The sequence below is a fragment of the Homo sapiens genome, chromosome X, assembly GCF_000001405.40.
Source record: "Homo sapiens chromosome X, GRCh38.p14 Primary Assembly".
Taxonomy (NCBI): Eukaryota; Metazoa; Chordata; class Mammalia; order Primates; family Hominidae; genus Homo; species Homo sapiens.
In genome coordinates, this window is record NC_000023.11 from 120297273 (window position 1) to 120312869 (window position 15597).

Consider the following 15597-nt stretch of genomic DNA (forward strand, 5'->3'; position numbering starts at 1 on the left):
AATCATAATAGAGCCTGCCATACAGGGTTGCTTTGAGGATTATATGAGATGAAGTATGTAGTGTGATTTGCATAAGGTAGGCTGCTAAATAAATGGTAGTGCTAAGGTTTCATAGAGGAGGAGACATTTTTGTATGCGCTCAAAAGATGGATTAGAGCTCAGCAGGCAGGGAACTAATACGTATTGAGTCATGGCTGGAAGAATTCACTTACCTGGATGACAGGTTAATGAACTCACCAGTGTTGCTAAAACAATCTTCCATTTCAAAAGCATTTTAAGTTAAAGAAGCACTTGCCCCCTACTTTGGTCACAGGAATACTATGGAGTTTGGTGGAATTCATATCATTCCCATTTGATAGACAGGAAAATGAAGGCATAGATAATTGTAAAGATGTATGCCCTCTTATAGCAAGTTAATGGTAGGTCTGGGACTAGCTCTCGGGTCCCCTGAATAACAGCTTGAGTTCTTTTAGCCACACCTCGCTGCATTTGTGACCAGTGCTAGTAGAATTGTGACCTCCAAGCAACAAGGACTTCATTGTTGCCCCCTAGAGAAGAAGTTCTCTGCAAGGATGGAGTGAGAAGTCTTATTTGCGGAAGAGCTGAGGGGTTGAAAATAAAGAAGGGAAAACCAACAGTTTCCTTAAAATGGACAGCTGCTTCTAAACAATTGCTTGCTCCCCTGAGACCTCAGAAAGGTAAGCTCTGTGGTCTCCCCTCAAGAGCTTCATGGAATCATGTAATGTTCAGACCTTTGGACCTCCATCTTGATTCCCCATTACCTGAACAAATAACTAGTTTGCTTTGTTTTGGCTGTCCTCCACTTGTGGAAAAAAAAAAAAGACAGATGATTAGATATCAAAGTCAGATTCAAGGGCTTTTTTGAGGCTGGACTCTTGTCACCTATGCCTGTTCCCATTCACTGTCCCAGACATCTAGGACAAAGGCTAAAAAAATTAGTCATTAGGTAAATATTAATTGGACATCTACTCTGGCTGGCAGTGTGTTCGATCTGTAATTTGGAGGCCAGGAGGTGGGATGGGGTATGATCAAGACCACTCAGGCTAAAGGAGCTCATACTACAATTAGGTAAACCAGTCCACAATCCCTTTCCATAATCCTGAAATCCACAAAGTTCTTAAAATAAAAAAGTGTTTTTTTTTCTTGAATGTAACTAACTTGGTGGCAAAACCTGATCTTGAACTGATGTGAGGTTATATTATCATCTTTATCTCACTTAGTTTAAAAATCCATGTTTTATTATAGAAACATGAGGTGCTTGATTATGGGATGCTTCTCAAGGCTCTACTTGGTTGTTAGATAATATGTGGTATATGTATTGTATAATTTTTCTAAAATAAGAAGTCTAAATTCTGAATCCCATCTGACCCAAGGGTTCAGAGAAGGGATTGAGGGCCTATATAAACAAAGCTAAATGAGAATATAGCCCAACAGATGCCACAAAGCAGGACACAAGTGTTTTCCAGCAACCATGAATAGGAGGAATCTACAGTAGGGAGTTCAAAGATGTAGACACCACTGTGGACCTCAGTATTTGAGACATGTTTCTGCTGTGTTTTTAAGTTGGGATAGAACAGAGCACCTAGAGAGAGAGAGAGAGAGAGAGAGAGAGATCAGGGAGGATATTCTAGGCATGAGGAAAAAATGTTATGACGGCCCCAAGGCAGAAAAGCCCAAGTCGTGTTCAGAGGACTGTGAATTGGCAATTTTTGCAAAAGAGAAGTAATGAGAGACTAGGCTGAGGGCATCTATGGAGAGCTCTGAATGACATGCCAAGGAAGCAACAGGGAGCCAATGAAGGTGAGAACCTTGTGGTATTATAAAAGTCTTATCCAGCAAATCAAGATTCAAATGTATTTATTTATTTAGAGACAGGATCTCACTCTGTCACCCAGTCTGGAATTCAGTGGTGCAAACAAGGCTCACTCTAGCCTCGAACTCCTGGGCTCAGGCAATCCTCCTGCCTAAGCTTCCTGAGTAGCTGGGACTACAGGCCTGAGCCACTGTACCTAGCTAATTCTTAATTTTTTTATAGAGACAAAGTTTTGCTATGTTGCCCAGGCTGGAGAGCAGTGGTGAGATCCTAGCTCATTGCAGCCGGCCTCGACCTCCTGGGCTCAAGGAACCCCCTTGCCTCAGCCTCCTAAGTAGCTGGGACTACAGGTGTGCACCACCACACCTGGCTAATTTTAAAATTTCTTATAGAGATGGGGGTCTCACTTTGTTGCCCAGACTGGTCTCGAATGCCTGGCCTCAAATGATCTTCCTGCCTCGGCCTCCCAAAGTGATGGGATTACAGGCATGAGCCACTGTACCCAGCCCAGGTGCCATTTTAAAAATGTACTTAGTAAGTGAGGGACTTATATTTTAGAATGAACTTAGATTTTAGAAACATTTTCAAACAAGAGGTAGAAACTTTTTCACCTCCTGTTGAAAATCTTTCTGCCTAATTCACTATTTACTACAAAATCCCACTATCCAGAGCTCCTTATGTTTTCTGAGCATTCATGTTAATCAAAATTTCTTTGGACTTTTCCAAGGAGTCTTTACATGTGAATCTGAGGCCACACTGACCTAAAGAAGGTTTCTGGGATCTTGATTGTTTTGAATGATCCCTGTTGTCCCCATCTCCTAATATCCCACAGTAACTCTGAAATGATTTTCAATTAACTGACTCTCCTACCCACTCCCTGGGAAAGGGGGCAGAAATTCTTGCTCTCTTTCCTGAAAGAAGACTCAGGCTAGTATGCGCCCTAATAGTATCAATATAGCAGCTGAGGAGAGGGTGCAAGAATGAAAGGCTTGTCTCACTATCCAGGGGACCAACTCCATCTTGTGGGTTGCTTGGGAAACACATTTAGAGGCCTCTTTTTCCTGCATCTAAGGTAAGAGGAGGTGTACCGGGAAGCAGCAATCACCCTCCCCTGTCTCTTTCAGCTTCAGGCAACAAATGAAGCTCTTGGGTTTTTAGGCCTTCAGAGTAGAAAGCTCATCTGAACCCTCCTGAAATAAAATGCCTTGAATATTTGAGGACAGTAAAATTCTTAATCCAGTTTGTCTTTGTTTGTTGGTGTTCGGTTTTTGTTTCTGTTTTGTTTTGTTTTGTTTTTTTGAGACAGGACCTCGATCTGTCACCCAGGCTGGAGTGAAGTGGCGCGATCTCAGCTCACTGCAACTTCCATCTCCTAGGCTCAAGCGATCCTTCCACCTTAGCCTCCCACGTAACTGGGACTACAGGCTCATGCCACAGGGCCAGGCTAATTTTTTTTTTTTTTTTTTTTTGTAGAGATGGGGCTTTGTCATGTTGTCTAGGCTGGTCTCAAACTCCTGGGCTCAAGTGATCCGCCTGCTTCAGCCTCTCAAAATGCTGGGATTACAAGTGTGAGCCACCGCACCTGGCCGTTTTTAGTTTTTAAATTTTATTTATTTATTTATTTGAGACAGTCTTGCTTTGTGGCCCAGGCTGGAGCCCAGTGGGGTGAGTGATCATGGTTCACTGCAGCCTTAACCTCCTGAGCTCAAGAGATCCTCTTACCTCATCCTGTCGAGTAGCTGGGACCAGAGGCGTGCACCACCATACTTGGCTAATTTTTTATATATATACTTTTTGTAGAGATGGCGTCTCACCACGTTGCCCAGGCTGGACTTGAACTCCTGGCCTCAAGCTATCCTCCCACCTCAGCCTCCCTAAGTGCTGTGATTACAAGCATGTGCCACCGTGCCCAGCCTGGTTTTAGTTTTTTTAAAACTTTACAGTTCAGACTGTACAGACTAGCACATCTTTACAGAGGCATGTGTGCGTATGTCTCTTAGAACGATGATACCACATGCTAGCTCAGGTAGAGTAGCTAACATGCCATGATAATGCACCTCACTGTACAAAGATATCTCATTTGGCAAAATAAAGATGCTCCCAAAAAGCTTCACGTGACTTAGAATTATGCAAATTGAGTTATATTTTAAGTACCTGAGATCACAATATTTAAATGATTTGTATGGTAAGTCTTCTTTTAATCTAATAACTTCTCCCTAATTTGTCTGTTTTGAAAATTTAAATTCTCATGGATTGTTAACACATTTAATCAGAGTCTAAAACAGCAGAGTTCTAAATAAGCTGAAACTTTTTCACAGTTCTATACATTAGTAATTTATATTTAAAGTGACCACTTTGACAGTGCAGAATCTCCAGATGACACATTATGATCCTTCTGGTTTTATTGCTAAGCATATTTTACTGTGTGTTAATTCTCCAGGTGGTTGCTAGTCCACCTGAATTAGACTCCCCCCACCCCCCACGGATTCTTTCCCCTCAGGTGGATTCAACATTTATTACTTTTTCAATCAAAGGTTAGTTTATGAAAAGAAAATTCAGATTGCCAGGGCCCATGCAGACCAACTGAATCAGAATCTCTTGGGCTAGGGAGTAGAGATCTGCATTTTTTGCAGGTTCACAAGGTCATTCTTATTCACATCAGAGTGGGGAAACCACTGGTTTGGAGTTTCTATAGTAACTCCCTAATAACCAAGCTATTCAGTTAATGAAAGTACCCCATTCCCAGACAAATCTGGATTCTCAGGCGTTTACTGTTTCTGAGGTATGAGTCGTAATTGTATTTGTTACAACGTGATCTGACCTATAAACTCAAATGGATTTTTCTGCTATTCAATCTGCTGTCTTTTCCCCTTTATTTTATGTAATTAAAATGCATTTTAAAGAAGCAATCTCCAGGAACTATGAGAGCACATTTTTAAAGGTTAAATCATGGGGGCACAGTGTCCGTTAGGGATGGCTTTCCTATTAACACTTCCATATTAGCTCTTAGTGAACCACTCACACGCAAACACACGCCCCCACTGCTTCAACTTCTAGTGCTAGCTGAACATCAGGTACTTGAATAACAGCAATCAGGCACCCTCCTTCCTTTGTTAACGTATTCCAACCTAGCCACCCACAGTAAGATATTCCACAGAGAAGGTTCACAGCCACTGTTTATGAATAGGAGTTCATACTCTTAAATAACATGGAAAATACCTTCCCCTCACCCACAGAGACTCTAAATCTTGGCTTCAGCATTTGCTCATCAGTCAGAAATATTTTACTAATGCAGCTACCTGAAATACACAAAGTCAAGCAGACCCTATAAATTGCTTTTCCAAGCCACCGAAATGCTATCTTACCCCCTCTGTTCCTCCCTGCACACCCACCCCCCGACCCCCCACCGGCTTTGCTTGTGTTTAAAAATAAAACCCAATTCTGCTGACGACTGGTTTTCTTGCCTCACCACAGGAAGTGCACTGGGTGAGTTCTCACATCACATGTTTAACACAGGGCACCAAACAGTGTCTGTGGGTCACCTGCCCTCAGCTGGGAGGAGCCCTGCCTGCCCTGGAGCTGTGGAGGCACTTCCCCCAGCAGCCTTCAGCTCCAGGAAGGCATAGCCTGCAGCCCACTTTAGGTCCCAGCTTCTCAAGAGCTATTGAGGAGGCTGACTGTGGAATGAAATCAGTGACCTAGGCAACAGGCTCCAGGCTTGGTCACTTATAGCTCTGGCTTGTCCAAGGCATCATCTTTAATCTCCCCTCTCGCTTTGCTTCTCTCTCCAATCCCCACCTCTCTCTCTCTCTCTCATTTCATTTCAAAGAGAAATGAAACAAAACAACAACAAAAAATACATCTGACCTCTTTGCTGTACTAAAATATTTCTTAACTGAATTGTCCTAAAGGTCCTTCTGCTCTCTAACAATTGAGGAGCCATTTAATTGGTGTTTAAAATATGATCTCACCTCTAGAGTTAGGTTTTTGGGTTCAACAGCAGTGTACGTAGACTCAAATTAGGTTTTGGTTTTTCTAATGCAACTAGTTTAGCAGTCTCCAAAGGGAACTGCATGCACCCTAGGGTAGATAAAACAATCCACTGGAATACGGCTGTTTCCTATTTATTGTTTATCTAAAATAATAAGAAACCAAACATTACTAATATTTAATAAACAGACTGTCACTGGCACCCTCTGTCCGTGTGAATGTCAGGTGATCAGGTGAACTATCCTTCTGGAGGAGGGCAAGTTCCAAGCAACAAACGGTTGATGGTGGGGCATTTTATGTGTGCCTGGATTGTATTATCCAATTTTAACGAAACTAGTCTCAACAAAATGGATAAGAGGCTTGAAAAGATTCCTCTTGAGAAACCAGAAGTTGAAGATGACCCTAATAATGTAAGCAAACGTAAGCAACAAGAAAATGGCAGAGTTTAATACTTCTAACTCCCAGGGTAGATTTTTGGCAGCCAAATTGTGATATTGACATTTAAAAACATGACTCCAATGACAGTCTAATCATATGGGATAAGAAGGCAGCCAAAAATATTCACAATTATCTAGTGGGCCATTTGAAATAAGGATTTAAAGCCACTGTCTTTAATGACAAGCTTCACACTAAGTGCATATTATCTGGTGACATTTTAGTTTGTGTTCACATGAAGATATTAAAAGTTATTGTATACTTATTTTTATCTAATTTTTGAATGTTCATTTTTATATAAGTTTTATGAACATGTATATATATAATTTATAAGTGAATAAATATACATATTTTAGGAACATATCTTCCACAGCTTTTTCTGATAGGAGTGCAGGATCACTTTGGAGATCAGTGCTGTTGGTCAGAGTGTCAAGCTGCCAGGATCCTCAGATTTCAGGTGAGATCAGATGACCTCTATTATATATGGGAATGCAGATGCCCGGAGAGAAAGGACCTTAGCCTAAGGTTAACACTGCTGGTAACATCTCCTAAACCAGAAACCTGAGGTATTAAAGAGTGAGATGACTTGCTCAGGATCACACTGTTAGATAGGGATGGTGCTGGATTCTTCTGATTCTCAGTCCAGTGCTCTTCTTAGCGGGCCCAGAGTTGCCTCTCCACATAAATATACAGAGATACAAAGGAGGAAATCTGAGCAAACACTAGACACTCAAACAGAATTGAAAACTATCAGAGCAGAGCCAGAATTTCTGTAGACAGCAAGCTACTGCGACCTACCTGTGCCTTCTATACTTACAATAACTCCGGGGTAATAACCTCCTACAGTCACATTCTGGGTCCTGGTGGTTGCAGCAAGGCCCACTGTGAGAATTAACACGGACACAATAAGCAAAGTCACGGTGACATAGATGGAGTTTCGTTTCCTCCGATTGAATGCTCCTGAAAGCACAGAGAGAAATTAAAATTGCTCATTTCAGCTGGGGAAAGGATTGACTTAAAGAAAAAAACACTAAGAAGGTTTTCCTTTCCTATTCCTACCGGTAACTGAAGTTATCTTTGGTGGTGACGGGTGGGGGGTTGTGGGGAAGGGATAGAGCATTATTTTTTGTAGTCATCAGGTGCCACTTTTATAATAAAATATGTATTTCCAATTTGAAAATAAACAACAGAAGAAATTTCACCAGTTACGTAAAAACAAAACGAATTTTTGTGCTCCTGGCACTCTGTAAGAGATGTGTCACAACTACTTAGTAGAGTGGTTTTTTAGACCAAATTAGAAGGCATATGATAAATGGGAAGTGTGTGTGTGGGGGAGGGGGTATTAAATGAAAACATTTTAAAGCCAATATCCAACTAAAAAGATTTTTTTCATAAGCTAGAGATATGAAATTTCATTTTCAGTGTAAATATCACAGCCAAGCCAAGTTACTGGGATTTTTTTTTCATTTATTTCTGACATTTGCCACCTCATGTATAAACTTTAAAATGGTGTATTGGCAAGATTTGTCACATAACAAATGTGTGTAATAAAGTGAGTGTTTGGAGGCCATTAGTCCACAAAGATATGTATCGGGGGAGTTAGGTGGGGAGGATTATAACTTATACACATTTAGGCTTATGTGAGGGTGACATAAACATAAATGATGAGAAACCCATTCTCCCACTCAGGGCTTATCAGACATGATAGTGCAAACCAATATTTTTTTGAAAACAGGATTATTAAGTCAGACAGAAAAATGGTATCTAGGCTCACTTTTTAATTTATTTTTTTTTAAAGGAACCGAGCACTGTCTCACACTCTGCAGGGATTTCTCAGGCATAGGGAGAGGGCCTTCAACAGGAAATAACCAGGGGAGAGTTACTACCTAGGAGTTCTCAAAAAAAAAAAAATAAGCAAATGAGAAGAGTCTAGCTCTCTAGTGGAGGTTTGGAGCATGAGGAGGATGAAGCAGTGAGGAGCCCTGATGGAGTCGCCCACCCACGTGGCTTGACTGTCATTTATGGCCCTAAAGAGATCACTTGAGTCTGTCCATAAGACCCTGTCATTCTGGGAGACCTCACTGCAGCCTCAGGAAGCAGTTGTTGAGAGAAGCCATGCAGACTGCTCCATGGGGAGGGAGGGGAGAGGGGATAGAGGGAGGGGAGAGGGGATGGAGGAAGGGGGACGAGGTCAAGGAAACGAAGCGAGACCCAGGAGGCAAGGTGGTGGTGAGACGGGAGGGGTTGTGGCTGGCCTTGCAGTCCACTGCAGATATCCCCTCCTGTATGGAAGAAAAGCACTGGGAGTATCACCCGGGCTTAACCCCACCATCCATCCTGTCTTCCCCAGTACTGTCCCTGCTGAAGTCTCCAAGGGAGGTGGGAGGGGCAGGCGGTCTCCCCTGACGTCAGCTTCGAAAATGAGGGATGTGACTCATCAGGGTCATTTCTAATATGGGACTAATCTAAGACTATTTTTCGTTGAAATGTAGAAGTGGTTTGAACGTTTATAGGCATCTACAATGCTAAAGCACCATGTCTCACCCTGGGGAAGAGGTAAGAAGAGTTGGCAAATGAGACTCATCTTTAAAGAGACCTGAGTCCAGCCTCCATGGGACAAAAACATAAAGGCCCACTAGAGACACCTGTAACATCGGGGCCCTTTCATGACAGGGCTATTAGGGATGCAAATGGGAGCTGACTAATGGTAAACACAGGAGCAAAGCCGGGAGCTCTGGACTGCATGGTACTGGGAAAGGAATAGTAGAGGGTTGGGGGAAGGCCAGGATTTATTTCTTCTGGTTACCTGAAGTTTAGTTATCCTTCCTCTTGATTTTGAGGGACCCTAAATTAGTCTCTAAACCAGGGTGCCTAAGTTTATTTGATGATAGATACTTCTCAGTGAATCTGTGAGTTGGTTCTACAGAGGGGCTCTAACATAAACTTACCAACATTGCCTCCCATTCTTGTCTTCCCTTCTCTTTTGTCACTCACACAATCTCTAGCCCTCCCCTGCCCCAAACTGGCAAAAGAGAGTGAGAGAACATTTGGATACACCACGGATATCTTTGTGATATGGAAGTGTCTCAACACCTTACCCAGAAAACATGTAACCTGACAGACTAAATTGGAGAAGTGTGTGTGCATGCATGGTCTTTTTAATTTTGGTTTGTTTGTTTGTTTGTTTCATTTGCCTGCTCCTTCCCCACCAGCTGGCCTTTAATCTTATTCACAGCTCTTGGGTCTTCTTTGCAAATATCACTCTAACTTTTAAAAGCGCAGGAAGAGCCAGGTCAGAAAAGTGACTCAGCAAACCACATAGTGTCATTTGAAAATCTTTTTTCCTGCTTTAGAACCTGAATTGAAAATTCAGTCACTTGAGCAACCCAGGCAAATATCCCACAGCCCCACAGGGGCCTTGACTCCAGATAGGATTTGCTTTGGATAAAATTCCTAAGAAAACTCTCTGATCACCAGGTCGAATATCTAATCTCTGTCCCCTCACGAGCGTCCTTCCCTGTCACCACTTATTTTATAAGGACCATAATTGTGTAACATGAAATTATTTCTAGTTGCACTTGGGGAATTGACTGTTTTAAGAAAACCCCCTCCCAGGGTGACTCGTTTTGAAAATGAAGAATCACCCCTCAATTTATCTTTAGTGTCAATTCGACTCAATAAAATTCACATCTACTTAGAGCAAGATATACCCATTTTCTGAAGGTGTGGCCCAGGCTCCTAAAAGGCAGTTTATTGTGTCTGCTTAGGACATTTTCCTGGTGGTTGTTTTATTTTAGAAGGGAGAAGTACAGCCGTGTTCTTATTCTGGTACAATTTGGGGCTTGCCTTAGATGTTTCTGTAAACACAGGACCATCTTATTCTGATTTTGTTTAGTAAAGTGACACGTAAAAAAACTCAGGCACCAGGAGGTACTTAAATAAAGCAGCAGGTATATGAAAATCATGCCTATTACGATTTATACCTAGTGTTTGATACCTAATAAACAATCGGTACTTGTTGAATAAACAAGAGGCAACATCTCAGAATTGTTTCCCTTTTAATCAAGAAGGATGTGGGAGGAATTGTGTGAATAAATATGGGCTAGTCTCATAGAATTGATTTTTTAATGTAGGGTACACCTGAGGGTTCCCTCAAATTAAAAGCCTTCTGGCTAACTAGTGTGAAAACTACAATATCTCTCACTACTCTGTCTCCTTGGCACCCAGTATATTTCTGCTTAAACAACAACCACCTCTGCAACCAACAGCAGTGAGAGAGTCTGAAATCTTTTCATTGGCCTTGCCTGCCCCTCCTCAGCAGCCTCCCTGCAGAACTACTGCAGCCCTCCCTCTCTGCAGTGCCCCACCTCCACCCCAGATTCCTGATGACCAGGATGCTTAGCTCTAGAAGCACCCAATTATTTGCTATCTCCACCCTTCCAAAAACAACCAGCTTTTCTCTCATCCGGGTATTCCCCCTGGTCAGAGCCCCCATCTGCATTGCGGTCTTTGAACCTGGGTGCCTCCCTTCCTTTGAAACATGCTCAAAATTCCCCTCCTCCAAAAAGTTTTTCTTGATCAAAATTAATCACTTATTCATGTCCCTAAATTCCCAGGTACCTTACTCAATAAGTATATTAATTGTAACTGGTACCATTACAATTGTAACCGTGGGTCTGGTCCACAACCCATATGATATCTGCCAGTCCCAGGATTGTGTATCTGAGGGAACCAAGATGTGAGTTGCTAGAAGGTAGGATGCTGTCTCTGTTACTTTGTTTTACCTTGCACACGTTCTTGATTATCCTCTCCCAAGAGAGTAGATAAGGTGTATAATCTTTATTGGGCACAGAAAAGTTGGGAACCCAGTATCCTGTCCTGTACACGGTGTTGTTGATGCCTGGCTAGTTCTCTGGGTTGATCTTTTGAACCGATTAGGATTTGCTTACCTGAGTCAGCTTTGCCACACAGGGTGGGTCCCCGGATATCCCAGCCTTGAGTATCCCTAGAAACAAGTGGCTGCCCACACAAGGGCCTCAAGACCCTGCCAATCTCCCAAACATTTCCTTAAAGGCGCTGAAATCCATCCCTCCCCACTTTAGACAGTTCTCTGAATGGAGAACATCCGAGGCCGCCCGCGAATTACAAATGTGTTATTTGGGAGGAAGGAATGCCCTACTGTAGTAGAGGTGCCTTTGCGCCTGGGGGCGGTGTTGCCAAAAGGGAGAAGGGGGTTGCTGGGAGGGGATGGGGGGACACTGGAGTCAAATTACCATCTTCTTAATTGCAAAGCGCCTGCTCCACTCTGAGCCTTGGACGCACTGCTCTATTCCCAGGCAGCCAGCAAGCGTAGAGTGCAGGCACCTTGGTGCAGTGTGTCTGCGTGTTTTAAATTTTATTGTTTTGGTTGCGGTTGTGTCTTGACAATAAAGGGAGTCCCCTCAGAAATGCTGCCCTTGGAGGCTGAAACACTAACCTACCTACCCACTGTCCTCTTCCCCCCACGCAAGGGAAGGTGGTGTTGCCAGAGCTAAGTGGGAGTAGCTCCTAAGTAGCCTAGACGCTGATTCAGGCCCGGACTGTGCGGGACCAGGGCCAGGGAACTCCGGGGAGACTCCCCTGTCCAAACTGTGGAAACCCAGCGTTAGCACTGGACTCAGGAATTTGCCAGTGCCGTCGGTCTGCGGACTTCAAAAAGTGGAATGCGTGGCGCCGGCTCCGCTTCTATCTGGGATTTATGATTCCTTTCCCGCAGTGTGGAGACTGGGCTGGGCGAAGCCCACTCAGCTGTTTGTTGCGCAGACCTTTCGAGAAACACAAGATCGCTGAGGGCCCCTGGGAGCCCAAGAAAGAAAGCTCTTCATCTTGTTCCCCAACCCACAGAGCAGTGCGCCAAGTAGCGACTCTTTAAGCCCTGGGCCACCAACCAGCCCACTCCCCGAAGGCAGACGGGCCCGGGGCGCTGTGGCTTGATTTGCAGGTGGTTAGGTGGTTGTCGTCCGCAGCGGGAATGGACGCTGCGGAACCCCAGCACTCTTCCACTCTGCCCTCCCTCGCGAAGCGCAACAGCTTGGCGTCGGGGAGCCAGGGCTGCGTTGTTGGCGCCACAGCTGGCCAAGGTAAGCAGTGCATTCCCACCTCTCTGTCTCTCTCTCTCTCGCTCTCGCTGTCGCTCTCTCTCGCTCTCGCGCTCTCTCTCTCTCCCTCTCCCTCTGTATGTGTGTGCGCGTGGTGTGTGTGTTGGAGAAAGAGTGCGCGCGCGCGAGCTGGGAGTAAGGGGGAGTCTGGTACTGCTGGGCTCGGGATTCGGACCAAGTCCTTGGCCTCATTTGTACCCCGTTGTAAATAACTACGCCCTTAAAAATGAAAAAGCAAATTCTTATACTGAATATGCAAAACCATTGAGGATACGGATCTTTCCACCATCCAGGAGATAACACTTTCTGGGGCCCCTCCGGTGAACGAGTTTTGTTGACACTGAGTCTTCTGCGGGCAGTAGGGAGATTATATAGGGGGTTCGATCTTCTCCCTGCCCCCTCCACTCGAGATGTTCCCGCAAATTCATCGGAGAAGACCTGAGCAGACTGATGGCAGGAACTGCGGGACAGAGGGATTTTGCAGAATGTAAAGTATGTTGGAAAGAGAGAATTCGATTTGATTGAAGTGTATCCGAGGCGAATTTTAAAAGATTAGGTGGGATCATGATTTTACAATCCCCTCCCGCTCTCCAGGGCTCCAAATTAATTTCTCCGCCCAGTGAAATCACAGGGCTTGGGAAGGTGCCTAACAGCTGAGGGGGACTGGGTTTGTTTTTTTTTGTAACTACCAAAAAGCAGCTTCGAGGGGCAGCCAAGTTGGTGCCCGAAGGTAGCTGTCCCCCAGTTTCTATAAGGAAAGGAGTCGAAGGGTGCCCCTCCCCCTCCATTCCGCCCTGCGAGGAAAAGCGCGACTTCAGAAGATGCGCGGGCTCGCGCTGGATGTTTCTTTCTCGCGCTCTCACTCCTGCCCCTGACTCCCTTTTCACACTCATGCACATTCCGTGCATTTGGAGCAGAGTAACAATCAAATTCAAAGAATGTTGATCCCGCCGCTGCAGAGGGCAGGGCTGGGCTGTCTTGAGTGATTCCTCAGGAATTCCCCTCCCCTCATCCCCCCCTTTCTTCTCACCCCCGCCCATCCCCCAGAGTTGCGCAACCCGCCCCCCCCCCCCAATCAGCGAGGTGCAAGTCAGGCCCCCACCCAACTGCATCTCTAAATTTCAGGGCAGCTTCAAGAGAGTTGGGAGGGGGCGAGGACCCTGCTTCTAATTGTCGTTAGTCGTGAGCTCTTAGAAGTGACCAGGACTTTGCAAAGAGGGAGTGTCGAATGGAAAGCGAAGGCGCAGGTTGCAGGGAAGTGTTTTGATCCTCAGATTGCTGGGATTTACCACCGACTGCAAGTCTGTAGACACACGCACACAAACAGGCACACACCCGCACTCCGGGGCAGAGATACTCCGACGCAAGCTTGGCGCTCCGATCTCCGCACGTCGCTCCCGCTGCAGCCAGGCCGCTCCCCTGGGACTCTGGTCCACCACCCAGACGCTGGGGCGCGAAGACCACCCCATCCATGCCCCGTTTCCCGCTCTCCGGCTTTTGGGGCAGCTGGGGCGTTCACAGTCCAGAGGCCAGGGCACTCAACCCCTGCTGCCGCCGCCCGAAGGAAGGGCCGCTAGACTTACCCATGGAATCGGGCAGGGACATGTCGCTGGACCGCTGCTGAGTCAGGGACTGATGCATGGTGAAAACTGCCCGGTTGCCCCAGTCCCCGAAGCTGCTTCAAGCGCCCCCGGCTCTGGGCGCCCCGCAGAGCATCCTACTCCGCGGTTGCCTCTCTCGGTCCTTCCGAGAGCTGAGAGACACTGCCTCTGGTTGCGAGCTGCAGCCCAAGTGCCGCCTCCCCCTCCCTTCCACTCTTCTCCCTCCCTCCTCTTCTGCCTCCCTCTGCTCTGGGAGGCAGCAGCATTGGCGGTCCGTGCAGCCGCGTGCGCTTGCGCAAGACCCCCCCCCTCCTCCCTCCCCCTCAGTCTCCCCATCCTAGTTATCCACCTCCCAGCCTTCCAAGCCAGACAGGGAGCAGTTTTAGCCCCTTGGGGCCAGGGCTGCGCAGAGAAAGAGGGGGAGGCTTCAGTATGAAGCCAACCAACCTTCTCTATAGTTGGACAGGGTCTTGGGTAATTATCCTGTTCTAGGATTTATAACTGGGGAGGGGGTCAGAGTCAGAGGTTCAGAGCTGAGGAACACACACACACACACACACACACACACACACACTTGAGCAGGTCTGGTCTTAGTGCTTCCAGAATGACATAATGGAGCTGGAGATGATCCAGAGAAGGGCCACTCTATAATCAAAGGGATGGTGTGTGTGGGGCGGGGGGAGGGTGGTGGCTGACATATGAAGATAGATTAAACAAACGCAGACTCTTTAGTCTAGAACGATGAAGGCTGGGAAGTGATGTGACCAGAGTGTATAAAATTATGCAGAGACGGAGAGAAGGAGCACAGCCTTATTCACCAGACCTGAGAATTCTAGAACCAACAGCCCCCAATCTTTAGCTAGAAAATTCAGCTAAAGTATAACTCTGCACCAGAACCCCAGTTTGTACTGTTCAAGTGCTTTTATAACAAGGATCTCATTTTATCATCATAGCAGCCATGCAAGGGAGGAAGAGGAGTTATCAATAACCCCATTATGCAGAGGAGGAAACTGAATCTCAGAGAAGGGAAGAAAATATCCTGTGCCCACTCAGCTAGTAAGTGGCAGAAGTGAGAGCTAGAACCTAGATCTGTTGGACTCCAAGGTGAGTGTTCTTGCTATGGCGACTGAAAAGAACTATTATTCTCTATAGCAAATGGAAAACCTAAGGAATTCATTAGCTCCAAAAGATGCAGCAAGATGAAAATGCAAGTAGCTTTGGAAAGAGTGAAAGTAAAGTCATGGCTGACAGATCCACTGTGGATTACTAAGGGAAACTGGGGATGAGGTGGGAATGTCATTGATCTTGGAAGACAGCCAAATCCTTCTCGAACCTATCCTTTTGGACCCCATTAGGATATTGGGCTTGAAGCACCTTGTGGTTGGACCAAAAGGTGGTTTGAATGTTCTCAAAACAACTGCAGATCAGGATGAGGCCTCCTTGGAGTGCCCCCAAGACATCTATCTGGTGGCCAGGGGAGGTGGAGGGTGAGGAAGCGGGTAACAGTGGACTCCACCTCCCTCTGGGAACAGCCCTGGAAGCCTAACATAGCTAAGAGAATATACCTATTTGGAGGTGCCCATACTGTCCCATTGAGGAG

General features: G+C 45.6%; 1 protein-coding gene across 6 annotated transcripts in view, besides 1 other annotated feature; it reads right to left on the reverse strand.

Moving 5' to 3' along the window:
- Positions 1-14189, reverse strand: part of TMEM255A (transmembrane protein 255A) — a 60029-nt gene extending 45840 nt beyond the window's left edge. For all 6 annotated transcript variants that reach the window (XM_017029619.3, NM_001104545.2, NM_001104544.3 and 3 more), the window contains exons 1-2: positions 13980-14189; positions 7077-7219 (exon numbers count right to left, since the gene is read on the reverse strand). In XM_017029619.3, the coding sequence (XP_016885108.1) occupies positions 7077-7219; positions 13980-14037 (201 nt within the window). In that variant the 5' untranslated portion in view covers positions 14038-14189. The remainder of the gene's footprint in view (positions 1-7076; positions 7220-13979) is intronic.
- Positions 12156-12205: an enhancer, noted in NCBI's record as "active region_29903". NCBI's record gives its function as "activates an Ori minimal core promoter by ATAC-STARR-seq in GM12878 lymphoblastoid cells {active_cell/tissue: GM12878}" and the evidence as "EXISTENCE:reporter gene assay evidence [ECO:0000049][PMID:35858748]".
- Positions 14190-15597: the final 1408 nt, after the last annotated feature.